This window comes from Homo sapiens, chromosome 12 (genome assembly GCF_000001405.40).
Source record: "Homo sapiens chromosome 12, GRCh38.p14 Primary Assembly".
Taxonomy (NCBI): Eukaryota; Metazoa; Chordata; class Mammalia; order Primates; family Hominidae; genus Homo; species Homo sapiens.
Genome location: NC_000012.12, coordinates 112135606 through 112162901, shown reverse-complemented (window position 1 = coordinate 112162901; position 27296 = coordinate 112135606). Strand labels below are relative to the sequence as shown.

Genomic DNA, 27296 nt, shown 5'->3' with positions numbered 1-27296 from the left:
AGGGCCCGGCAGGAACCAGCCATACAGGCCTGCTGTTAGATACTTTCTCATATCTTAAAAGAAGCTGAAAATCCAGAATGCTTCAAATCTTCTAACTTTTAAATGCAGAAAAATGGTTAAAAAAAAAAAAAAAGAAACAATTTGCTGGGCAGACAAACCCATCAGCAGTTTGGCACATGCGCTGTCCAGCAGCTCTCTCCCCTTTTCCCTCCAAGAACATCTCGCAGGTTCCCAGGCCCTCATCCCCCTCCTGCTGGGCCCCAGGATTGGCTTGGGGCTACCCAAGGAGGCAAACCTGGAAGCAGAGGCCAGCCCAGCTTCCCTGGGAGCCTCACAGATGTGGGCCCAACCCTCTGATGCTGGCTCGGTTTCTTGTAGGTTCCCCAGACTCTCGCTACATCCGCGTGGAGACCTGCATGTTCATGATCAAGCTTCCCCAGTACTCCTCTCTGGAAATCATGCTGGAGAAACTTCGTTGTGCCATTCACTACCGTGAAGACCCCCTCAGTGGCTGATGGGAGGGAGCCCCAGAATTAGGCTGTCACTGAGGCACCCACTCTGCTGGCTTGGGAAGCCACCACTGCGGCCCGTCCCTCCAGGGCCCTGCGTGAGGAGTTGGCAACATTTTGCTTTTCCAAACTTTCGTCCACATTCCAGGGCCTCCTGGAAGACTTAACCTTTTGTCTTTGTACGTTTCGTGATGGGTTGGTTCTTTTGCTGCCTGTTTGTGGTCTATTTGTAGGATAGTTTAGTTCCCAGACAGTTTGTGTCTAATTTGATCTTCTTGGACATTGTCCCTCATGGCCACCAGATTCTAATGCCATAAGGCCCCAGCTGGTTCCCCATCACAGAACCACCCAGCAGGAAGCCGGGGGTACAATGACCTCGGCCACACAGAGCGCTCGTGCTTTCAGCAGAGCGCCTCCACAGACAAGCCTGTGGCCAGCCCTGCCCTCCAGCCTCGAGCTGGAGTTGCTCCAGAGGCAGCCCCAGCAGGCCTCCCTCCACATAGAGGTGGCTGGGCCAATTGCCCAAACACGTGAGACACACAGGGAGCTTTATGTGTTCATCTTCCTGCTTTAGAACTTGCTCCCGGTCTTGGTTTTTCTGAGGAAAAGCCCACAGTGGTTCCCCTGCCCCTCCCATACCTCCCTATCTGCCGTCTGTCTCTTTGGGCCCTGGTCTGACAGTTTTCATCTGAGGCCTCCTCGGGAGCAGGAGACTTAAGGGTTCATCCCGACCTTAGTTCACAGAGCCTAGCTGGGTGCATCCCAGCCGCAGGGGGTGAGAAGACACCCAGAGATGGGGGACAATGCTCAGGTGGGGGCCTCCTCCGAGACTCTGGTTGAGAGGAAAGCACATGATTCAAGCCTACCCCACAAAAAAGGAGCACAAAATGCTCAGAAATGGCCCTTCCTCCCTGCAGTGACGTAGGACAAGGGAAAGGGCCACACCCATTTTCAAAAGAGTGGACTGAGGTGCTCTGCTCAATTTGGGGTCTGCTTTAGTGACCCAGACACTCAAGTCCAGATGGAGACTCCAGGGGGGTCCTTCTGCCCCTCTGGCCAGCCCCACCCAGCACTCCCCATCACCCCATGTAAGTGTGTATGCCAGGGCTGAGCTGCCTCCAGGCTCACCCACTGCATCTTTGCCCCAAATAGGTCTTTGTCCAGTGGTACTTTGTTCATGAGCAGCACAGGCCATCTTGTTGGACACTGTCACTTTGGGCCTTGCCAGGTCTCACAGAATCACATCGCTGTATTTATTGTATAATATTGTGAATATTGGAAGTTTTGAGTGAGTGCTGTCTAGAAGGTTTTGGAGTGTGGATGCTGGTCCAAGAAAGAAGATGTGCCCTGGCCTGCTGGAAAGATTGTGAATTCTAGAGATAGAGCCGTTAGCATCCATCTCCTCCCTGTAACTCTTAGGAAATGCATCAAGGACCATTATAGAAAGGATCCCCTGACCTAAGGATGAAATCGACCTAGGGTTAATCATGACAGCTGCATCAGTTGTATTGGATGCAAGTCAACTCTGGAGGTGAGTGCCCGCAAGCAGTTCCCCTGCTTTGAAAGAAGATGGTCAGCCCGCTGCCTCCCCAGCGGCCACAGCTCCTTTGAGTGTGGGGGGTCACAGCCAGGATGTATTCCTGACAATAAGGATCCTTTTATTTTCATTTCTGCATAATGAAAGAGCCTTTCGATTTATTAGAAGTGGTTTTTCCTCCCTACATCTTTAAATTCTTGGTTCTCTTTAGTCCTCATCCCTTGAATGGACTTGTCAGCTACCTCCCCAGGAGGAGTTCAGAAGCTTCTGTTGGCCATCACTTGAGTAGATGACAAGCTGTAAGGTATCTGCTGCTAACGTGGCTGCTTCTCCGAGAGCACATTGAGGTCCAGACAGATCCAAACCTTGGCCCTAAAAAATGTGTGCTGTAAAGTTACTTGATGTATATTTATTATAATTATTTATGGTTGCATTTAACAAACTTTTCATTCAATCTGATGCTATTTACACCATGCTGTGTAAAGGAAGCTCACTAAAGGAAAAAAGTCACACCAATAAATAACCTTCATCTAATTTTGATTTACCTTAAGAGTTGTGTGATCATCTACTCTTGCTGAGCAAGTTCAAAGGCTGGCATGCTTGGATGGCTCTGATATTTAAGTGCTGCCAAGTGGCTAGGAATTAAAGTGTTTCTAATTATTATGGTCTCTTGGCATTTGACGTGATTCTTACTCCATGAGGTTTTTAAACTACCCTTCCCCAAACCTGACTCTTCAGTCTGTGCATTCCATGTAGAAATTACGAAGGCAGGGGAATCCAAAATCAAAGTTAAACCTAACCCTACATCCCCTGCCCACTTTTTGTCCTGGCAGCTAGTCTATGCGCTTGGGCCTGGTGTGGGCATTTTCCTCAAGCGGATTGTTATCGTGGCAGAGTCTGGGCCCCTCTTAGACACAGCTCCTCCTTCAGGAGCAGGCAGTGGATGTAGACCTACCTTGTGCAGAAGGCACATACAGGAAAGAGGTGAGGACTTGCTGAGTCTTGCTGTCCATGATCAACACTCAGGTCCTTGCACAGCTGCCTCCCTGGCCAGGGAGCCCAGGTTGGCTATACTCCGGATAATCTCAGTTCTCTGTGACCTGCTTGTCCCCTCCTACTGTTCCATGGTAGTCCTCACCCAGAGCCGCTTTATTCTCATGCTCTCAACTCCACCTTTCTTGTACTTCATAAACACTAACTTTGGAAGGGTGGCAAGATGGCCGAATAGGAACAGCTCTGGTCTGCAGCTCCCAGCGAGACCAACACAGAAGGCAGGTGATTTCTGCATTTCTAACTGAGGTATCTGGCTCATCTCAATGGGACTGGTTAGACAGTGGGTGTAGCCTACAGAGGGTGATCTGAAGCAGGGTGGGGCATGGCCTCACCCAGGAAGCACAAGGGGTCAGCAAACTCCCTCCCCTAGCCAAGGGAAGCCATGAGGGACTGTGCCGGGAAGAACGGTGCACTCCGGCCCAGATACTATGCTTTTCCCACAGTCTTCACAACCTGCAGACCAAGAGATTTCCTCCAGTGCCTACGCCACCAGGGCTCTGAGTTTCAAGCACAAAACTGGGTGGCCGTATGGGCAGACACCGACCTAGCTGCAGGAGTTTTTTCATACCCCAGTGGCACCTGGAATGCCAGCAAGACAGAACAGTTCACTCCCCAGGAAAGTGGGCTGAAGCCAGGGAGCCAAGTGGTCTAGTTCAGCAGATCCCACCCCCATGGAGCCCAGCAAGCTAAGATCCACTGGCTTGAAATTCTCACTGCCAGCACAGCAGTCTGAAGTCAACCTGGGATGTTCGAGCTTGGTGTGGGGAGAGGCGCCTGCCATTACTGAGGCTTCAGTAGGTGGGTTTTCCCCTCACAGTGTAAACAAAGCTGCCAGGAAGTTCGAACTGGGTGGAGCCCACCACAGCTCGGCAAAGTCGCTGTAGCCAGACTGCCTATTTAGACTCCTCTCTGGGCAGGGCATCTCTGAAAGAAAGGCACCAGCCCTGTCAAGGGCTGATAGATAAAATTCCTATCTCCCTGGGACAGAGCACCTGGGGGAAGGGGCAGCTGTGGGCACAGCTTCAGCAGACTTAAACTCCCTGCCTGCCAGCTCTGAAGAGAGCAGCAGATCTCCCAGCACAGCACTTGAGCTCTGCTAACGGACAGACTGCCTCCTCAAGTGGGTCCCTGAGCCCCACGCCTCCTGACTGGGAAACACCTCCCAGCAGGGACCGACAGACACCTTATACAGGATAACTCTGGCTGGCATCGCGTGGGTGCCCCTCTGGGACAAAACTTCCAGAGGAAGGAACAGGCAGCAATCTTTGCTATTCTGCAGCCTCTGCTGGTAATACTGGTCTGGAGCGGACCTCCAGCAAACCCCAGCAGACCTGCAGCAGAGGGGCCTGTTAGAAGAAAAACTTAACAAACAGAAAGGAATAGCATCAACATCAACAAAAACAACATCCACACAGAAACCCCATCCAAAGGTCACCAACATCAAGGACCAAAGGTAGATAAATCACCGAAGATAAGGAAAAACCAGCGCCAAAAGGCTGAAAATTCCAAAAACCAAAACACTTCTCCTCCAAAGGATCACAGCTCCTCCCCAGCAAGAGAACAAAACTGGATGGAGAATGAGTTTGATGAATTGACAGAAGTAGGCTTCAGAAGGTGGGTAATAACAAACCCCTCCAAGCTAAAGGAGCATGTTCTAACCCAGGGCAAAGACGCTAAGAACCTTGAAAGAAGGTTACAGGAATTGCTAACTAGAATAACCAGTTTAGAGAAGAACATAAATGACCTGATGGAGATGAAAAACACAGCATGAGAACTTCGTGAACCATACACAACTATCAACAGCTGAATCGATCAAGCGGAAGAAAGGATATCAGAGATTGAAGATCAACTTAATGAAATAAAGTGAGAAGACAAGATTAGAGAAAAAAGAATGAAAAGGAATGAACAAAGCCTCCAAGAAATATGGGACTATGTGAAAAGACCAAACCTACATTTGATTGGTGTACCTGAAAGTGACAGGGAGAATGGAACCAAGTTGGAAAACACTCTTCAGGATATTATCCAGGAGAACTTCCCCAACCTAGCAAGACAGGCCAACATTCAAATTCAGGAAATACAGAGACCACCACAAAGATACTCCTCAAGAAGAGGAACGCCAAGACACATAATCATCACATTCACCAAGGTTGAAATGAAGGAAAAAATGTTAAGGGCAGCCAGACAGAAAGGGCGGGTTACCCACAAAGGGAAGCCCATCAGACTAACAGCAGATCTCTCTGCAGAAACCCTACAAGCCAGAAGACAGTGGAGGCCAATATTCAACATTCTTAAAGAAAAGAATTTTCAACCCAGAATTCCATATCCAGCCAAACTAAGCTTCATAAGCAAAGGAGAAATAAAATCCTTTACACACAAGCAAATGCTGAGAGATGTTGTCACCACCAGGCCTGCCTTACAAGATCTCCTAAAGGAGGCACTAAATATGGAAAGGAAAAACCAGGACCAACCACTGCAAAAACATACCAAATTGTAAAGACCATCGACACTAGGAAAAAACTGCATCAACTAACAGGCAAAACAACCAGCTAGCATCATAATGACAGGATCAAATTCACACATAACAATATTAACCTTAAAAGTAAATGGGCTAAATGCCCAAATTAAAAGACACAGACTGGCAAATTGGATAGAGTCAAGACCTATCAGTGTGCTGTATTCAGGAGACCCATCTCACATGCAAAGACACACCTCACGTGCAAAGACACACATAGGCTCAAAATAAAGAGATAGAAGAATGTTTATGAAGCAAATGGAATGCAAAAAAAAGCAGGGGTTGCAATCCTAGTCTCTGATACAACAGACTTTAAACCAGCAAAGATCAAAAAAGACAAGGGCATTACATAATAGTAAAGGGATCAATGCAACAAGAAGAGCTCACTATCCTAAATATATATGCACCCAATACAGGAGCACCCAGACTCATAAAGTAAGTTCTTAGAGGCCTACAAAGAGGCTTAGACTCCCACACAATAATAGTGGGAGACTTTAACATCCCACTGTCCATGTTAGATCAATGAGACAGAAAATTAGCAAGGATATTCAGGACTTGAACTCAGCTCTGGACCATGTGGACCTAATAGACATCTACAGAACTCTCCACCCCAAATCAACAGAATATACATTCTTCTCAGCACCACATCACATTTATTCTAAAATTGACCACATAATTGGAAGTAAAACACTCCTCTGCAAATGCAAAAGAATGGAAATTATAACAAGTAGTCTCTCAGACCACAGTGCAATCAAATTAGAACTCAGGTTTAAGAAACTCACTCAAAAACTGCACAACTACATGGAAACTGAACAACCTGCTCTTGAATGACTACTGGGTAAATAATGAAATTAAGGCAGAAATACATAAGTTCTTTGAAACCAATGAGAACAAAGACACAACGTACTAGAATCTCTGGGACACAGCTAAAGCAGTGTTGAGAGGGAAATTTATAACACTACATGCCCACAGGAGAAAGCAGGAAAGATCTAAAATCAACACCCTAACATCACGAAAAGAACTAGAGAAGCAAAAGCAAACAAATTCAAAAGCTAGCAGAAGACAAGAAAGAACTAAGATCAGGCAAAACTGAAGGAGATAGAGACAGGAAAACCCCTTCAAAAAATCAATGAATCCAGGACCTCATTTTGTGAAAAGATTAACAAAATACACCACTAGCCAGACTAATAGAGAAGAGAGAAAAATCAAATAGACACAATAAAAAATGATAAAGGGGATATTACCACTGATCCCACAGAAATACAAACTACCATCAGAGAATACTATAAACATCTCTATGCAAATAAACTAGAAAATCTAGAAGAAATTGATAAATTCCTGGACACATAACACCCTTCCAAGACTAAACCAGGAAGAAGTCGAATCCTTGAATAGACCAATAACAAGTTCTGAAATTGAGGCAGTAATTAATAGCCTACCAACCGAAAAAAACCCAAGACCAGATGGATTCAGAGTCAAATTCTACTAAAGGTAGAAAGAGGAGCTGGTACCATTCCTTCTGAAACTATTCCAAATAATAGAAAAAGAGGGACTCCTCCCTAACTCATTTTATGAGGCCAGCATCATTCTAATACCAAAACCTGACAGAGACACAACAAAAAAAGAACATTTCAGGCCAATACCCCTGATGAACATCGATGTGAAAATCCTCAATAAAATACTGGTAAACTGGCCGGGCACGGTGGCTCACGCCTGTAATCCCAGCACTTTGGGAGGCCAAGGTGGGTGGATCACAAGGTCAGGAGATCGAGACCATACTGGCTAACACAGTGAAACCCTGGCTCTATTAAAAATACAAAAAAATTAGCCGGGCGTGCGCCTGTAGTCCCAACTACTCGGGAGGCTGAGGCAGGAGAATGGCATGAACCCGGGAGGCAGAGCTTGCAGTGAGCTGAGATCATGCCACTGCACTCCAGCCTGGGCAACAGAGCGAGACTCTGTCTCAAAAAAAAAAAAAAAAAAAAAAATACTGGCAAACTGAATCCAGCAGCACATCAAAAAGCTTATCCACCAGTCGGCTTCATCCCAGGGATGCAAAGCTGGTTCAACATACTCAAATCAATAAATGTAATCCATCATATAAATAGACCAATGACAAAAAACACATGATTATCTCAATAGATGCAGAAAAGGCCTTTGATAAAATTCAGCACCCCTTCATGCTAAAAACTCTCAATAGATTAGGTATTGATGGAACTCATCTCAAAATAATAAGAGTTATTTATGACAAACCCACAGCCAATATCATACTGAATGGGCAAAAACTGGAAGCATTCCCTTTGAAAACCGGCACAAGACAAGGATGCCCTCTCTCACCACTCCTATTCAACATAGTGTTGGAAGTTCTGGTCAGGGCAGTCAGGCAAGATAAATAAAGGGTATTCAAGTAGGAAGAGAGGAAATCATATTGTCTCTGTTTGCAGATGACATAACTGTATATTTAGAAAACCCCATTGTTGGCGGGTCACAGTGGCTCACGCCTGTAATCCCAGCACTGTGGGAGGCCGAGGTGGGCAGATCACGAGGTCAGCAGTTTGAGACCAGCCGACCAACATGGTGAATCCCGGTCTCTACTAAAAATACAAAAATTAGCTGGGCATGGTGACGCACACCTGTAATCCCAGCTACGCAGGAGGCTGAGGCAGAAGAATCACTTGAACCTGGGAGGTGGAGGTTGCAGTGAGCCAAGATCGCACCGCTGCACTCCCGCCCGGGCAACAGAGCAAGACTTTGTCTCAAAAAAACAGTGTAAAACCAACCAACCTCCTACTATTTTACTCAATGTCTAATCCAACCAAAGGCAGAGTGGGGAGAGTTTGACTTTCTGGCAGGTCTATCCCCACACTCCAACAGACAGTTAAGGGCAACATGACTGTTCCCTGGCCCAGCTGGGGAGAGGACTTAGAGCTGCCCTGGATCCTTCCTCCCAACTTTTTGAAGTTCCAGGGAGATTTCAATGACAGCAGAAGCCATGCAAGTCCGAGTCCCTCCAGTTTCTTTCACGCAACAACACATGAAAGTCTCACTGAGCTAAGGTGATTTTGTTTTACTGAGATATAACTGACATACACTAAAAGATCTAACCCTACTATGTATCGTTTGTGTGTGTGCGCGAGTGCATGCAGACGAAGCTTTTTTCTCTCAGGATAATTCTTTTCAGAGACCTGCCTCTGCAAAGAACTGGCCGCATGGTTCCCGTGTCTAGTGTTCCATCTATGAAATAGGGCAGTTCCTCCCACCTTTCCCACCCCAACAGGTTGTTGGAAGAACAAAGGAACTCAAAATGACCTACGGTGCTCAGTGGTCCTATGCAGACGGAGGCACTGAGGGGTAACAGCTAATCCTGCTAGGGCTCAACTCCTCTCAGGATGAAGGCTTTTGAAGAATCTGCTTTTCTCTATTCAGTCAGAGGCACCCCTTCTAGCCCCAGTCATCACCGGAGCTGCAGCAAGCCTGTCAGTTTTCTCAGAAGTCCAATTTAAAACACTACACGTTCAATGTCTGTGTACTCCAAGAAGGGACTCATGGTGGAGCTGCGAGGGTTACTGGAGTGCCGGAGAAAGCCCAGCCCTGCTCACCTCCTCCAACCCCAGGGCTGACTCCAGCCTACCCTGCCCTCCCTGCAGTCTCTAAAGCACACAGGAGAAGGAACCACAAGACTGAGCTGAACTCCAAGTACAAACTTTATTTCTATTACAAGGAAGTTAATAATTATTATAACAGTAAAATAAAAACAAGGGGAAGGGGCTCTGACACTTGGTTTTCAGAGCAAGTGTGGGGCTGGGGCAGAGCCCAACATACCTGCTGTGGGGACAGGGAGCCCTCAGCCCTCCCCATTAGAAAGCAGTGAGGACAAAAGATCCATGCTCCCCCGGGAACAGAAGGCAGTGATGCCAAATGCCAAGGAAGCAGCTTAAAACACAGCCCCCGGTCCACTCACCTCCAGCTCAACACATCAAAAGCCTCGTTACTGACAGACATTGCAACTGGCCTGAGCACCTTACCAGAGCGCCTCATACACACCTGGGGCCCAATCGAGTGTGGACAGACGCAGTACACGGAGAGGTTGCCCAAAAGCCCCCAAATTTAGGCCCCAACAGGGCAGAGAATCACCTTACTGGTGGCTACCAGGTTTCCAAAATCTTCCCCTCCTTCCACTGGGACCACACAGCACCAAGGGGCAGTGGCGACAATAAGTCAAAAGGGAGCCCTGGCAGCCGAGGCTGCAGCTTGTATTTCACTGCTGCCGAAAGGTAGCAGCTAAGGCTGAAGCGTTCCTCAACCGCCACCCTGCTCCCTTCCCTCAAACCCAAACCCCCACAGCACAACCTCAAAAGACACAAAATGGCCATAACCTAGAAAAATCTAAAATCTGGAAAAACTCTCCCACCCAAAGAGCCAAAGAGGTGGGCCTGCACAGCGGCAAGTGCTGCTGTGCACAGAAGACAGGAACCGATGTAAAGTCTCTGGAGACACCATTACTCCTCCTCTTCCTCTTCTGCATCCCCAGCTCCCTGTTGCTTGGAAGGCTTTGCCTGGTGAACAACACAACACAAACGAAGCTTTACATAAAAAGTGAAAAAGCATTACTCCTCCCCTGGATCCCCGAAAATGTCCCGCTTCCTTAGAAACCTCCTTCTCAAAAGCCAAAGGAACAATCTTTGAACCACAACCAGCCTGGTCCCAACAACTTCTACAACTTCAGGAGCCACACAAGCCCCACCATGTCTGAGTCCCCCACTGAGCATCATGGGCTGGAGCCCACCTTACCTTTGCAGTTCTGCTGCGGTAGTTGGCAGCTGCAGGGGTGACCCGGGAATTCCTGCCACCTTCACTCCTACCACTGAAAGAAAACAATTAGAAACTAGCTCCTGAAGTGTCCCTGAGCAAAGGTCAACAAACTCAGAGGGAACAGGAAGCAGTCCTATGCTAGCAGACAAACCCCAAAAAACCCATAGGCCACAAAATAATTTTTTTGGAGTCAGGTGACAATACAGGGAAAATCCATACTCCTCCCCTTACCATGCAAGTACCTCAGTCTTACCCCAGGCCTGGCAAGGGTAACCAGGCCTTTGCCCATGTTCGCTTCAGCTACTCCCAAGCCCCATTCCTGGGCTACTGATTCTTACCTAGCTCCGTATCTCCCTGAAGGCCCAGGGGAGAAAGAGGGCACAATGTTTTCTGGGTAGAGATTTTGAGGAGGGCGAATCACTGAAACGTGCCCAGGGGCTATGGCCCCATTCTGGCTGTCTCGATTCCGCCCCTGGATGTCCTGGCTGTCTGAGTTGCTGAGCTTCGGCACACAAGGAGAGCTGGGCTGGCACCCAGGTCTGGGGCCTGATGTTGATCTCGATAGCTGGTTATAGGTAGCTGTCATATTGTTAATGGGTCGGCTGGGAGGCAGACAGGAGGTGGGCCCATTAGCTGTTTCCTGCTTAGTATCATCCAGGTAACCAGAAGACAGGTCTCCTGAGAAGAGAAAATGGTAACAGCTTTAGGAAAAAGCCTGCTCTGGCTATAGTGCCAGGTTTAGGGCAGGAACAAAAAGATTCCAGATAGAAGACAACTGCTCAGCCAGGCGTGGTGGCTCATGCCTGTAAACCCAGCACTTTGGGAGGCCGAGGTGCGGGGATCACCTGAGGTCAAGAGTTAGAGACCAGCCTGGCCAACATGGTGAAATTCCATCTCTACTAAAAAAAAAATACAAAATTAGCCAGGTGAGGTGGCACACAGCTATAGTCTCAGCTACTCAGGAGGCTGAGACCAGGAGAATCACTTAAACCCAGGAGGTGAAGACTGCAGTGAGCCAAGATCATGCCACTGCACTCCAGCCTGGACAAGACAGAGCAAGACTGTGTCTCAAAAAAAAAAAAGACAACTGCTCACCCCAAAAGGCTGCTGGAACCCACATCTCCAGGGCAGAGATGGGGATATTTTATCAATTCTGCACATATTATCTGAGTCCTCAAAGACAGCCTCCTAACTATTCAACAATAGTGTGCAAGCAAACCTTGAAAAATAATTTTTTTTTTGAGATGGAGTCTTGCTCTGTCGCCCAGACTGGAGTGCAATGGCATGATTTTGGCTCACTGCAGCCTCTGCCTCCTGGATTCAAGTGATTCTCCTGCCTCAGCCTCCCAAGTAGCTGGGACTACTGGCGCCCGCCACCACGCCCGGCTAATTTTTGTATTTTTAGTAGAGACGGGGTTTCATGATGTCAGCCAGGCTGGTCTTGAACTCCCAACCTTGTGATCCGCCCACCTCAGCCTCCCAAAGTGCTGGGATTACAGGTGTGAGTCACCATGCCCAGCCAAAAAATAATTTCTAATTGGCTTTGTAGTGGTGAGGTTTCAAAAACAGTTTACTTGCCTAAACATGATGGTCTTAAGTAATAATAATAAGTTTGAGGCTGGGTGTGATGGCTCACACCTGTAATCCCAACACTTTGGGAGGCCGAGCTGGGAGGAACACTTGAGCCCAGGAGTTCAAGATCAGCCTGGACAATGTGGCGAAACCCCAACTCTACAAAAAAAAATTAAAAATTAGCTGGGTGTGTTGGTGGGCACCTAGCCTACCTATAGTCCCAGCTACTCAGGAGGCTAAGAGTGGGAGAATCACTTGAGCTCAAGAGGTTGAGACTGCAGTGATCACGCCACTGCACTCCAGCCTGGATGACAAAGAGACCCTGTCTAAAAAAAATAAATTAAATAAATAAGTTTGAGGTCGGTCACAGTGGCCTACGCATGTAACCCCAATGCTTTGGGAGTCCAAGGCAGGAGGACTACTTGAGGCCAAGAGTTCGAAATCACCCTGGGCAACATAGCAAGACCCTATCTCTACAAAAACAAAAAAATTAGTTGGGTGTAGTAGAGTGTGCCTGTAGTTCCAGCTACTTGGGAGGCTGAGGAGAGAGGATCACTTGAGCCCAGGAGTTTGAGGCTGTGGTAAGCTATGATTGTGCCACTGTACTCCAGCCTGGGTGACAGAGCAAGACTCTGTCTCTACAAAAAAATTAAATAATAATAATAGGTTTGAGTACCCTAAGTGTATTTCAACTTGAAATGGGGGCCCAGGGTAGCTACCATAAGGTCTGCAAATTATCTACAAATAATCCACTAAGTGCACAGATAGGAAACCAGAAACTTATTACAAGCACTTACTACTACATGTATCTCATGGATGTCCGCAAAGCCATTACCCTAAAAATCACACACTTGAGAGAGCTCAGTCTAATGTGGGACCACAACTACCTGCAGAGGAGTCCCCTATGAGACCCTAGTGTGTTTGGAAATTTGAGATGCAGGTAATCCCCACATTAGAGCAGTGGATGGGAAGTGGTAAACAGGCCGGAGCCAGCAGTAGACCTGCGGCCTTGGCTGAGTCCTGGCTAATAAATACCCTGGTGTCTGACACGCCTCCTGGGCAGCTCTGGTGAGGTCTCTTGAGGCTGGGAATCCAGTCTAGGAATCCCCTCTGTCACATGGTTGGTTGCAGTGGCTGGGCGTTGGTCACACTGGTCCTAAACAAGAAAAACCAGAATTAGTACCTCTGAATTGAGTCATTCCCAGAAAAGAGCATGCGATGGGAGGAACAGCAGTGTATTCCTCATCTGGAGGGGGACTTTGACAACCTCTGAAAGTTCTGGGAACTTTCAGAAACCACACATCTGGAATGGTTGCATTCAATCCCATCGGCACATGAGGCACTGACAGAAACACTTTCTGATTTGTGCAGGGATGCGGGAAGGGCTGATCTTGGAGCCCAGAAAAACATTTATTTCTTTTTTTTTTCTGTTTTTTAAGACTATTCAAGTGCAATAGTGAGAACGGGGAAAAGAGTAGAACAAGGAGTTCAATCTGTAACTGACTGTGAACAATCAACTGAGATAACTCACTACCTTCAGAGCAGCTGAAAAGCATTTCTATACTCTCACCAGAGTATTTATTTGTGTCGTTGCTTATTTCAGTCTGCCCTAGAGGGTAAGCAGTCACTTATCTACTGTTTGATCCCAAAGCAAAAGTCTTTTTTTTTCTTTCTTTCTCTTTTTTTTTTGAGACAGAGTCTCGCTCTGTCACCCAGGCTGGAGTGCAGTGGTGTGATCTCGGCTCACTGCAACCTCTGCCTCCCAGGTTCAAGTGATTCTCATGCCTCAGCCTCCCGAGTAGCTGGGATTACAGGTGCCCGCCACCACATCCAGCTAATTTTTGTATTTTTGGTAGAGATGGGGTTTCACCATGTTGGCCAGGCTAGTCTCAAACTTTTGACCTCAAGTGATCTGCCCGCCTCAGCCTCCCAAAGTGCTGGGATCACAGGCATAAGCCACCATGCCTGGCCTCTGAAAAGCAGGAGTCTTTATTACAGAAATGAAATGTACAATGTTCTAGTAACAGCTACATGGCATCAACTACAGAAATGGTAGCTGCAGTGTTGACTCTCACTCCCTGTAACATATACGATTGGGCAGAAAACATATTTTCCACTAATAGATTGGAATCCTATACTGTAAATGCTGAAAAATGACTTCATATTGTCTAGTCCAACTCCCTCACAGATGGCCCCAGTAAGGGTCATCCACAGGACAAAACCAGAAGTAGACCCTCAGGTCTCCTAGAATGCAAGTCTCAAATGCCACCACAATGGGAAAAACCCACCTGGTGAAAAGCAGGGAGACTGTCATCTAAACTCTCTGACAAGGCTTCCTTCCACACCTGCTCAAATAGAGTCCTGGCTCTTTGGTCCTCAGCTAGTAACAAGATGGCTTCAGTTGCCCAAAGGGAGGGAAAGTCTGAAAGCCTGCGGTATTGGTTACCACAGACAGCTCACAAAGATGACTTGGCCAGAAGCCAAGTGTGTGCATTCCTTGTCAGGATGGAATGCAACTTAAAGGCTAAGGAAGTGTTCTCAGCTCTGGAAGCCTCAGGTTCACGCACAGAGCCACATGGACAGGGACTCCAGGGACCCTTACCTGGTGATGGAACAGCACCTCCTCTTCCAGCTGTACCCCACAGAATTCACATGGGATAATGATGCTCTCCTCCACAGGGTGTGAATTGCTCAGGCCCATCAAAGAGTCTAACTGGTTACTTGCAGCCTGTTGCAAGAAGTTCTGGAAGATGACATCAGGTTCCTCCACCCCTCTGGGGGAAGAGCTGCCAGTATTGAGTGAAGGTAAGGCACGTGAAGGGTTACAGCTTGTCTGTCATTCAAAAAATATAGGTTAAAAACAAGAATCAGAGGTTAAGAAAAAAACTACATTCCTAAAATATTTTCTAGAAGAAGTCATATAATTTTAACAATGCTTGGCCGGGCGCGGTGGCTCACGCCTGTAATCCCAGCACTTTGGGAGGCCGAGGCAGGTGGATCACGAGGTCAGCAGTTCAAGACCAGCCTGGCCAAGACAGTGAAACCCCATCTCTACTAAAAATACAAAAATTAGCCGGGCGTGGTGGCACTTGGCTATAATCCCAGCTACCTGGGAGGCTGAGGCAGAGAATTGCTTGAACCTGAGAGGCAGAGGTTGCAGTGAGCCGAGATCGCACCACTGCACTCCAGCCTGGGTCACAGAGCGAGACTCCGTCTCAAAAAAAAAAAAAAAAATTTTTTTAAATGCTTAATATTGGAAAGAGGAACAAAAAAGAGGAATACACATAGAACACTCATTTTACTTTTAAATATTTTTATGGTTTTTTTTAAGTGTGTTCATTCTTTTTAAATTAATTTGAAAAGATTCAAGGTTCTTCCCACCACATCCATACAGTAAAAGAGAGGCACAAATATTCTTTATTATCTTTGTTAATGGATTTTCTATGGTACTCCCAAAACAAAAACTACATGTATTCAAATAATATATTATTTCATTTATGGGGGAAAGTATGTTCCACCATCCAGAGCACAGGCACTATTTGGTAGTTGTGGAAATGCCAGACTAGGCCAAACCAAATCAGAGTATTGAGGGAACAAGAAGTTCCCTCCTGGCCAGACGTGGAGGCTCACGCCTGTAATCTCAGCACTTTGGGAGGCTGAAGTGGGCAGGTCACGAGGTTAGGAGTTTGAGACCAGCCTAGCCAACATGGTGAAACCCTGTCTCTACGAAAAATACAAAATTAGCCAGGCATGGTGGTGTGTGCCTGTAGTCCCAGCTACCCTGGAGGCTAAGGCAGGAGAACAGCCGGAACCCCGGAGGCAGAGGTTGCAGTGAGCCCCGATCGCGTCACTGCGCTCCAGCCTAGGCGACAGAGTGAGACTCCATCTCAAAAAAAAAAAAAAAAAAAAAAAAAAAAAACAGAAGTTCCCTCCATCAGGTAATCCTCAAACACATAAAGCTATTTGCTCATCATTCCTAAATGGCTCAAGAATAGTCAATCATTCAAATAACTGACACCTTTTCAGATACCAAGTATTTAGAGATTCCGAAACTGGGAAAACCCAGAACCTGCCCTCAGGGAAATCAGCCTAGTGGTGCAGACCAACAGGAGATCAGAAGACCACATCATAAAGTGACAAACTATAAGAGAGGTGGGCACAGACTTTTAGAAGCACACAGGTGTGGTTCCTGACCTAGCCTTCATAGTACCTATCAGGATGGCTTCCATAAAGTCACATCTGAACCAACTCTACAAGTAAGGGGTCTGTGTTGTTGGATGTGTTAAGGAGACAGGGGCAGAAGGCCAGACACCTTTCAGGTAGATAAAGTAATGTGCAGAAAACACCCTTGACCTTTCTAGAAAAATGCAAGGACTTCAATACAGCTCCAATAAATCAAAATGTGGCATGAGATGAGACCAGATCACAAAACGGATAGTGGAGATATATGTGCACCAGTCACTACCACATGAAAGGGCTGCTAGCATGAGATTTCCAGGTCTGCTGAAATGAGCATCATTCCCTGCCCCCCCCTTTTTTTTTGGTAGAGCTGGGGTCTCACTATGTTGCCCAGGCTGGCCTTAAACTCATGGGCTCAAGCAATCCTCCCACCTCAGCCTCCTGAGTAGCTGGGACTACAGGCATACATCACTGCCATCACTTTTTTTTTTTTTTTTTTTTTGCTGTTATTTCACTATTGTTTTTTTTTTTCTTCTTCTTCTTCTTTTTTTTATTATTATTATACTTTAAGTTTTAGGGTACATGTGCACAATGTGCAGGTTAGTTACATATGTATACATGTGCCATGCTGGTGTGCTGCACCCATTAACTCGTCATTTAGCATTAGGTATATCTCCTAATGCTATCCCTCCCCCCTCCCCCAACCCCACAACAGTCCCCAGAGTGTGATGTTCCCCTTCCTGTGTCCATGTGTTCTCATTGTTCAGTTGCCATCTATGAGTGAGAACATGTGGTGTTTGGTTTTTTGTCCTTGCGATAGTTTACTGAGAATGATGATTTCCAATTTCATCCATGTCCCTACAAAGGATGCCATCACTTTTTCTAAGAAGGAACAAGGCTAAGTTTTCATATCTGTATGCCACTCACATCATGGAAAAGAACACTTGCTATTCCTACTATGGGCATTGTATTAAAATGATTTGTTCAAGGCCTCATGTGGCCTGCAACACCAATTATGGCCTGCATACAATCCTACTAAAAGTCCTCAAGTAATTCATAACACACCTGATGGTCAATCAGCAGTTCCTCTGGGTAGAGCTCCTCACAAAATTCACAAGGCAACATGATCTCGTCAGCTGCACCTAGGTATTAGGCCACACAATGAGACTCAGGATGAACAAAAACAAACTTGAATTTAACTTTTTATCCTCTTTATGGGGTCTTATATAGAAGTTTGGCTTTCTTTAATGTTTCTTATAGATAGCAATTTGTGGGGCTGTATATTCTCAGAGGGAACCCATCCAAGAGATAAACTCTAGGCCAAAACTTCCATGACAAAACAAGAAATGTACTTGACCCCAATTTCCTGAGTAGCAGTATAGCAGTAGTTTACCTGCTACTCACTACTCTAAGGAAGCGATTTAAATGTGTAATAACCATAGGCAATAATCTTAAGTGTTTTCCACACACTATTTCAATCCTCAGAAAAAACTTACGAAGTAGATCCTACATTATCCTTATTTTACGGATAAACTGGCAAACAATATCCTGAATACTCCTCCCAGTACCAAAAAATGCTGCCTAAAAGTAACTGAAGTGAACAAATCGATACATTTTAAACCCAAGATTCCCAGACACAACATCCTCAGGAAAACTGCTAAACAAATGGGAGGGTGAACAATGGCGGGATGTAGGGAAATTTACCCTTCTACCCATCTAGATTTTAGTTCTGGGTAAAAGAAAAGTCTCTACCAAGTAGAGTAACTAGAGCTTGGCCCCTTACATAGGTTTGGGGTCACAGTCTGTGCTTCTGTTTTTTATGTTTCTATTTTTACATAAATTCGCATTTGTGATTTTTTTTCTGTTGCCTAGATTGGAGTGCAGTTGTGCAATCTTGGTTCACTGCAGCCTTGATCTCCCAGGCTCAAGAGATCCTCCCACCTCAGCCTACCCAGTAGCTGAGACTACAGGTGTGTGCCACCATGCCTAGCTAGTTTTTGTTTATATTGTGTAGAAATGAAGTCTGACTCTGTTGCCCAGGATGGTCTTGAACTCCTTGGCTCAAATGAACCTCCCGTCTCAGCCTCCCAAAGTGTTGGGATTACAGGAATGAGACATGATGCTCAGCTACGTTTATGCTTTTTAAAAGTCCAAGCCAGCCGGGCATGGTGTCTCACACCTATAATCCCAGCACTTTGGGAGGCCAAGGTGGGTGGATTACCTGAGGTCAGGAGTTCCAGACCAACCTGAGCGACACGGTAAAACCCTGTCTCTACTAAAAATACAAAAATTAGGCGGGCATGGTGGTACAAGCCTGTAATCCCAGCTACCCTGGAGGCTGAGGCAGGAGAAATCACTTGAACCCCAGAGGCGGAGGTTGCAATGAGCCAAGATCGCGCCATGGCACTCCAGCCTGGGCAACAGAGGGAGACTCTGTCTCAAGAAAAAAAAAAAAAAAAGTCCAGGCCAAAAGCTTAAAGTTACCCCTAATGGTAGTATCTCTATGTGCCTGCCAGAAGCATTTATAAATTCTCAGAGGAACATGCTAGAAAACTTGGTGTTCACACACACACGTAGCAAGCCTCCATGAACAGGAGACGCAGAAACAACATAGCAAAGAAACAGTTTTTGCTATTTTTGGACACAAAAGAAAAATAAGTATATTTAACATGTTTAAAGACATGTTAAAGAGGGAACTATGCTGGGCGCAGTGGCTAATGCCTGTAATCCCAATCCTTTGGGAGGCCGAGGTGGGGCAGATTGCTTGAGTTCAGGAGTTCGAGACTAGCCTGGGCAACATGGTAAGGAACCATCTCTACTAAAAATACAAAAAAAAAGGTAGTGGTGCATGCCTGTGGTCCCAGCTACATCGGAGACTGAAGTGGGAGGATCACTTGAGGCCTGGGGGCGGAGGCTGCAGTGAGCCGCGATCACACCACTGCACTCCAGCCTCGGTGACAGAGCAAGATCCTGCCTCAAAAAAAAAAAAAAAAAAAAACCAAAGCGGGAACTGTAATATGACTATGGAACAAAAGATTATTTTAAAAATTAGGAGGTACAATGAGGAAAAGGATCAAACAGAACTCAAAATGAAATATATAATCACTAAGTGAAAATCTTAAGGGACACATTAAACAACAGATTAGAAATAACTACGGAGAAAAATCAGTGAACTAGAAGACCGATAAGAAATTACCCAGAATGGCTGGGCGCAGTGGCTCACACCTATAATCCCAGCACTTTGGGAGGCTGAGGCAGGTGGATCACCTGACATCAAGAGTTTGAGACCAGCCTGGCCAACATGGCGAAACCCCGTCTCTACTAATAATACAAAAAATTAGCCGGGCATGGCTGGGCGCAGTAGCTCACGCCTGTAATCCCAGCACTTTGGGAGGCCGAGGCAGGCGGATCACGAGGTCAGGAGATCGAGACAATCCTGGCTAATACAGTGAAACCCCGTCTTTACTAAAAATACAAAAAATTGGCCGGGTGTAGTGGTGGGCGCCTGTAGTCCCAGCTACTCGGGAGACTGAGGCAGGTGAATGGCGTGAACCCGGGAGGCGGAGGTTGCAGTGAGCCGAGATCGTGCCACTGCACTCCAGCCTGGGCAACAGAGGAAGACTCTGTCTCAAAAAAAAAAAAATTAGCCAGGCGTGATGGCACATGCCTGTAATCCCAGCTACTCAGGAGGTTGAGGCAGGAGAATCACTTGAGCCCAGGAGGCAGAGGTTGCAGTGAGCCGAGATCGTGCCATTGCACTCCAACCTGGGCAACAAGAGCAAAACTCCATCTCCAAAAAAAAAAAAAAATGTTCAGAATAGTATAGCAAATACCCATATACTCCTCATCTATATTCACAAAGCTTAATATTTCCTCACATTACTTTTATGTATTTTTCCCCTGAACTATTTGAGAATAAGTTTGAACACATAACATTTTATTCCTAAGTACTTCATCATGTGCCTTTGAAGAACAAGGGCACTGCTTTCTCCTATGTAAACAATACGGATGTCACTCTCAGCAACTTTAATGTAAGTTCTCTACTTGTACAATAATGTCCTTTAGAGCCTTTTTTTTTTGAGACAAGGTGTCACTCTGTCACCAGGCTGGAGTGCAGTGGCACAATCTCAGCTGACTGCAACCTCTGCCTCCTGGGTTCAAGCATTCACCTGTAATCCCAGCTACTTGGGAGGCAGAGGCACGAGAATCACTTGAACCCAGAAGGCAGAGGTTGCAGTGAGCCGAGATCATTACATTGCACTCCAGCCTGGGTGACAGGGCGAGACTGTCCCAAAAAAGAAAAGAAAAAAGAAACAAAAAAGAGTAAGGCAAATTCTATTTCATTAAAATCTTTCAATTGTATAAGAATTGTATAACCTAAGACTTACAAAAACTGTAGAGAAAGAGGCTAGTGCAGAATAAGCAAGCCTACCCTTTATGTCACTGAGAGACCTGGGACCGCCATGAGACTGGTCGGCCTCACATACGGCCCTCCAGAAGTCCTGCTCTGCCACACTGGAGGCTTGGCCTTCATTTTGCAGACTTAGGGCCAACATGAAGTCCAAGTTTGCACTCTCTTCACCACCCTCTTTGGGGGGCTGTTGGCCTCTATTCCTTTCCTGCCTCTCTTGTTCTTCAACTGAAAAAAAAAAACCAACCAACATTCAGGATACATTAGAAATGTTACCACCCTCAACTCAAGTCCATGCCTAGCAAATAGTCAAGGTTTACAGGCATCCGGGAAGGAATAAAAATGACCATGTTCAACTAGCTCTCTTCACCCTCTGGGTCTCCTAGCTTTGAACATTAAAGTCTGCCCTGTGAAAAGGCTCCATTATTATTCTAACTGTATTATTAAGCAATATTACTGAGCCATAATTATGAGACAGGCACTGTGCTAAACATTTTATACTTATTTTCTGAATTACAGTAGAATGGTTTAAAGCACGAGGTCAGATTATCTGAATTCAAATCTCAGTTCTACCTTCAAATTTACCTACCTTCAAATAATGAGAGAATTAAATGAGTTAATACGTATAAAGCACTTTGCAAATGCCTAAGGGAAATAAGATACAGGTTGAGCATACCAATCCAAAAATCCAAAATTTGAAACTTTTTGGGCATCAATATGGCTCTCAAAGAAAATGCTCACTGGAACATTTTGGATTTCAGATTCTCAGATTTGAGATGCTCATCCAGTATATATAATGCAAATACTTCAAAAGCCAAACCACTTCTGGCCCCAAGTATTTTGGATAAGGGATACTCAATCTGTATAAGTGTTGGCTATTTACAACACTGTCATCATACTCACCATTATGAACCCTAACTATAATCCAATGGAGGTTATTTCCATTTTATAGGAAAGAGAGGTATTCTTCCCAGTGTTACTCAGCTACAGTCGGGTTTCTATAATCAAGATCTATCTGGCCCCAAAGCCCTGTTCCCATTTGCCTTGGGATTTTGATACCATTCTAGTTCCCTAATCCCAAGCACAACTCACACAGATTATTCTGAATTGAAACCTGGGCTGTAATGTTCCTTTGGTTGGTAGTTCTATTGTGGAAAACATCTGATTCAAAGGCTCTCAGGGGCCTTCGCGGCAGCCTCATGGGTGGGTCCAGAGCCTCAATTTGTCTGAGGAGTTGGGATGCAATCCAGATTCCATCCTGACCCCAAGATTCATCATATGCATTAGGAGGTATGGCAACCTCATTTCTCTTTTCCTCCCCCTCTCTCCCACAAACTTCAGGGTGAGTCTTCAGATCTTTCACAAGGACATTGCGACCACAGTTGCCACATAGTTCCGTCCGGGCACCACAATAATCTTCATGTTCCTTCAGTTTGAGAATGGAAAGTTCTAAATCACAGTGCTGGCAGACAGCAAGCCGCAAAGGGCACTCAGTCTCCTACAAAACAGAGGAATGAGGCAGTTAATATGCATATCTAGGAGAGGTGTGTTTTAGTATAGGGCAAGGAAAGCCAAGAGTATCTACTGCAATCTTCTCTTCCAACCCTTGATTCTCCTACCCTTTTTTAATGTATTTAATTATTTAAGAGTCACAGCTTCCCCTTTTGTTCCTGCCACAATGTTCTATAAAGGAAAATAAAATATTAGAGGGAGCCCACTACTCAGCCACCCTAACTATCATATTGTTTTGTGCACACATTACTTAGTAATCTAAAACCAGCCAGAGAAGCCCAGGAGCAAATAACAAGAATCATAGCAAGTCAGATGTTTGTCAAAGCTCCAATGTCCCTGTCCCCTACCAACTATTCCAATTCAGTCTTTTTTTTTTTTTTTTTTTGAGACAGTGTCTCGCACTGTCGCCCAGGCTGGAGTGCAATGGCGCAATCTTGGCTCATTGCGACCTCTGCCTCCCAGGTTCACACGATTCTCCTGCCTCAGCCTCCTGAGTAGCTGGGATTTCAGGCACACACCACCACACCCACTTAATTTTTTGTATTTTTAGTAGAGACGGGGTTTCACTATGTTGGCCAGGCTGGTCTTGAACTTCTGACCTTGTGATCCGCCCGCCTCAGCCTCCCAAAGTGCTGGGATTACAGGCTTGAGCCACCACGCCCGGCCTCCAATTCAGTCTTAAGTACCTAATAATGAGGAAAAGAAACTGCACTTTAGAAAGACACAGGTTTCTCTAACCTTCATATTTGTATTTAGCACAGGCTTTATTTTTCATTTATTATTATTATTTTTTGAGAAAGTCTTGCTGTCGCCCAGCGACAGAGTGGTGTGCATGGAGTGCATGGTGCAATCTCAGCTCACTACAACCTTCACCTCTCGGGTTCAAGCAATCCTTGTGCCTCAGCTTCCTGAGTTGCTTGGGACCACAGGTGCGTGCCACCACACCCAGCTAATTTTTTTGTATTTTTAGCACCGAAGGGGTTTCACCACGTTAGCCAAGTTGGTCTCAAACTCCCATCCTCAAATGGTATGAGCCACTACTCCTAGCAAATCCGTGTTATTTATCTAATAAAAGAACTTTGGGACCTGGGCAATGGCCCACGCCTGTAATCCCAGCACTTTGGGAGGCCAAGGCAGGCAGATCACCTGAAGTTAGGAGTTCAAGACCAGCCTGACCAACATGGTGAAACCCCACTCTACCAAAAATACAAAAATTAGCAGGGTGTGGTGGCATTCACCTGTACTCCCAGCTACTCGGGAGGCTGAGGCAGGAGAATTGCTTGAACCCGGGAGGTGGAGGTTGCAGTGAGCTGGGATAACACCACTGCACTCCAGCCTAGGTGACAGAGTGGAAAACAAAAAAAAAAAGCTTTTGAAAAAAAACTTTCTGAATTGGCATTATATCTACATGGTATCAAATTTTATTTTTTAATTTTAATTTTTCTTTTCTTTTTTTTGAGACAGGATCTCAGTGTCACCCAGGCTGGAGTGCAGTGGTACGATCATGGCTTACCGCAGCCTTGACCTCCTGGGCTCAAGCAATCCTCCCACCTCAGCCTCCCAAGTAGCTGGGACCACAGGTATATGCCATCATGCCTAGCTAGGTTTTTTGTTTTATTTTTTATTTTGTAGAGACAAGGGTCTCCTTATGTTGCCCAGGTTGATCTCAAAACTCCTAGGCTCAAGCAGTCCTCCTACCTTGGCCTTCCAAAGTGCTGGGATTACAGGCGTGAGCCACTGTGCACAGCTGGTATACAATTTTAAAGCCCAAAAAGGATATATGTAAAAATCATGTCTCTTCTCCCCTGTTCCTCTGCTACCTAAGGCCTTTTTATCAATTTATTGTGTTTCCTGCAAGAGGTAGTTCATGTATATACAAACAGTGCTGAAAATGTTGGAGTAGCATTTAGAATAGAACTTTAGTTTAATTTTTTTTTTTTTTTTTTTGAGACGGAGTTCGCTTCTGTTGCCCAGGCTGGAGTACAATGGCATGATTTCGACTCAGTGCAACCTCTGCCTCCTGGGTTCAAGCAATTCTCCTGCCTCAGCCTCCCAAGTAGCTGGGATTACAGGAGCCTACCACCACACCTGGCTAATTTTTGTATTTTTAGTAGAGATGGGGTTTCACCACTTTGGCCAGTCTGGTCTTGAACTCTTGACCTCATGTGATCTGCCTGCCTCAGCCTCCCGAAGTGCTGGGATTACAGGCGTGAGCCACCACGCCCAGCATTTTTTGTTTTTGTTTTTGTTTTTTTTTGAGACAGTCTCACTCTGTTGCCCAGGCTGGAGTGCAGTGGTGTGATCTTGGCTCACTGCAACCTCTGCCTCACAGGTTCAAGCAATTATCCTGCCTCAGCCTCCCGAGTAGCTGGAATTACAGGCATGCGGCACCATGCCTGGCTAATTTCTGTATTTTTAGTAGAGATGGGGTTTCACCATGTTGACCAGGCTGGTCTTGAACTTCTGACCTCAAGTGACCCGCCCTCCTCTGCCTCCAAAAGTGCTGGGATTACAGGCTGAGTCATTGCGCCTGGCCTACCTTTTTATTTTTATTTTTATTTTTTTGAAACAGGGTCTTACTTTGTCGCCTAGGCTGGAATGCAGTGGCACAAACAGGGCTCACTGCAGCCTCAACCTCCAGGCTCAAACAATATCGTACCTCAGCCCCTCGAGCAATTGGGACTACAGGAACGGACCACCATTCCCAGCTAATTTTTTAGTTTTTTGTAGAGATAGGGGTCTCACGATATTGCCTAGACTGGTCTTGAACTCTTTGGTTTAAGCAATGCTCTCGCCTTGGCCTCCCAAAGTGCTAGGATACAGGCATGAGTCACTGTAGCCCGCTGTGAATTACCTTTAAGGGTAATTTAATTATAAATTAATAAAATCAAGTTGTTACAGTTTGAGGCACACAGAATGAAATGCACAAATCTTTAAGTATATACCTTGGTGAATTTTTACATATGTATATCCACTCTTCTATAACTACCATATAAACAGCTGTTTGGATTTTTATTTATTTATTTTTATTTATTTATTTTTTTAGACGGAGTCTCGCTCTGTCGCCCTGACTGAAGTGCAGTAGCGCAACCTCGGCTTACTGCAAGCTCCGCCTCCCGGGTTCACGCCATTCTCCTGCCTCAGCCTCCCAAGTAGCTGGGACTATAGGCGCCCGCCACCACGCCCAGCTAATTTTATGTATTTTTAGTAGAGACGGGGTTTCACCGTATTAGCCAGGATGGTCTCAATCTTCTGACCTCGTGATCCGCCCGCCTCAGCCTCCCAAAGTGCTGGGATTACAGGCGTGAGCCACTGCGCCCAGCCAAGAAATGAAGATCAAGGCTGAGGGATGCTCCCTACTGAATGGGAAAACTGTCCTTGGTTCCACATGGGCTGTAGACACAGCCCTTCTGCCAGCAACTGTTCCTGCAAGGAACTTGTGCTCAACTGAACAAACTGTCACGTGGTTCCTTGAAGGGGCACAGCACTGATTTCACTTGCATTATAAAAGACTGAGTGGTGCTTTTGACTGTTTATGTCAACACTTGAAAACAAGGTGAGCCAGTTTTTTTTTGTTTGTTTTAGATGGAGTCTCACCCTGTCACCCAGGCTGGAGTGCAATGGCACGATCTCGGCTCACTGCAACCTCCACCTCCCAGGTTCAAGCAATTCTCCTGCCTCAGCCTTCTGAGTAGCTGGGATTTCAGACGTGCGTATCCACGCCCAGCTAATTTTTGTATTTTTAGTAGAGACGGGGTTTCACCATATTGGCCAGGCTGGTCTCGAACTCCTGACCCTGTGATCCACCCACCTCAGCCTCCCAAAGTGCTGGGATTACAGGCATCAGCCATCACGCCCGGCTGGATTTTTAAATTGGTGAATTAACATACTCATTCAACGTTGGCCAGTTTTGGCCAGATGCCATAGCTCACGCCTGTAATCTCGACATTTGGGAAAGCCAAGAAGGGAGGATCACTTGAGGCCAAGAGTTCGAGACTAGCCTGGGCAACATAACAAGACCCCAACTCTATGAAAAACAAAAATAAATAAAATTAGTCAGGCATAGAGGCCTATACCTGTAGTACCACCTATGCAGGTAGATCATTTGAGCCCAAGAATTCGAGGCTGCAGTGAGTTATGATCATGCCATTGCATGCTAGCCTGGGTGACAGAGTGAGACTGTGTCTCTTAAAAAAGGTTTTTAATTAAAAAAAAGAAAAATGACCGGGCATGGTGGCTCACGCCTTTAATCCTAGCACCTTGAGGGGCCAAGGTGGGTGGATCACCTGAGGTCAGGAGTTCAAGATCACCCTGGCCAACATGGCAAAATCCTGTCTCTACTAAAAATACAAAAAAAATTAGCCAGGCATGGTAGAGCACGCCTATAACCCCAGCTACTCAGGAGGCTGAGGAAGGAGAATCGCTTGAACCTGGGAGGTGGAGGTTACAGTGAGCCAAGACTGCACCACCGCACTCCAGCCTGCAAGACGGGAACAAGATTCCATCTCAAAAAAAAAAAAAAAACTTTGGGCTGAGTACAGTGGCTCATGCCTGTAATCCTAGCACTTTGGGAGGCTGAGGCAGGAGGACCACTTGAGCCCAGGAGTTCAAGACCAACCTGTGCAACACAGCAATAGAGACAACACCTGTCTCTATTTTTTGGGTTTTTTTTTTTTGAGATGTAGTCTCACCCTGTCATCCAGGCTGGAGTGCAGTGGCGCGATCTCGGCTCACTGCAACCTCTGCCTTCCGGATTCAAGCGATTCTCGTGCCTCAGCCTCCCAAGTAGCACACACCTCCACGCCCAGCTAATTGTTGTATTTTTAACAGAGACAGGGTTTCACCATGTTGGCCAGGCTGGTCTCAAACTCTGACCTCAAGTGATCTGCCCACCTCTGCCTCTCAAAGTGCTGGGATTACAGGCATGAGCCACCATGCCCAGCCGACCCTGTCTGTATTTAAAAAAAAAAAAAAAAAAACCTTTGGCCAGTTTTATCTCAACTAGCGAGCAAATGATACTCTATTCTCTCTCACCAAATGCTGAGGAATTTCTTAGGTTAAATAGCATGTTATCCAGGTGTTCAAGATTTTAAAATGAAGCCAGATGTGGTGGCTCACGCCTGTAATCCCAGCACTTTGGGAGGCTGAAGACAGGCAGATCACAAGGTCAGGCCAACATGGTGAAATCCCGTCTCTACT

At 46.1% G+C, this 27296-nt stretch overlaps 2 protein-coding genes across 4 annotated transcripts in view; one reads left to right on the top strand and one right to left on the bottom strand.

Moving 5' to 3' along the window:
* The window catches only part of HECTD4 (HECT domain E3 ubiquitin protein ligase 4), a 222237-nt gene extending 219530 nt beyond the window's left edge, over positions 1-2707 (top strand). For both annotated transcript variants that reach the window (NM_001388303.1, NM_001109662.4), the window contains exon 76: positions 379-2707. In NM_001388303.1, the coding sequence (NP_001375232.1) occupies positions 379-515 (137 nt within the window). In that variant the 3' untranslated portion in view covers positions 516-2707. The remainder of the gene's footprint in view (positions 1-378) is intronic.
* A 6590-nt stretch (positions 2708-9297) lies between these two features.
* Positions 9298-27296, bottom strand: part of TRAFD1 (TRAF-type zinc finger domain containing 1) — a 28045-nt gene continuing 10046 nt past the window's right edge. For both annotated transcript variants that reach the window (NM_001143906.2, NM_006700.3), the window contains exons 5-12: positions 21678-22083; positions 20607-20813; positions 17240-17316; positions 14598-14828; positions 13031-13151; positions 10762-11101; positions 10403-10475; positions 9298-10167 (exon numbers count right to left, since the gene is read on the bottom strand). In NM_001143906.2, coding sequence (NP_001137378.1) covers positions 10111-10167; positions 10403-10475; positions 10762-11101; positions 13031-13151; positions 14598-14828; positions 17240-17316; positions 20607-20813; positions 21678-22083 — 1512 coding nt within the window. In that variant the 3' untranslated portion in view covers positions 9298-10110. The remainder of the gene's footprint in view (positions 10168-10402; positions 10476-10761; positions 11102-13030; positions 13152-14597; positions 14829-17239; positions 17317-20606; positions 20814-21677; positions 22084-27296) is intronic.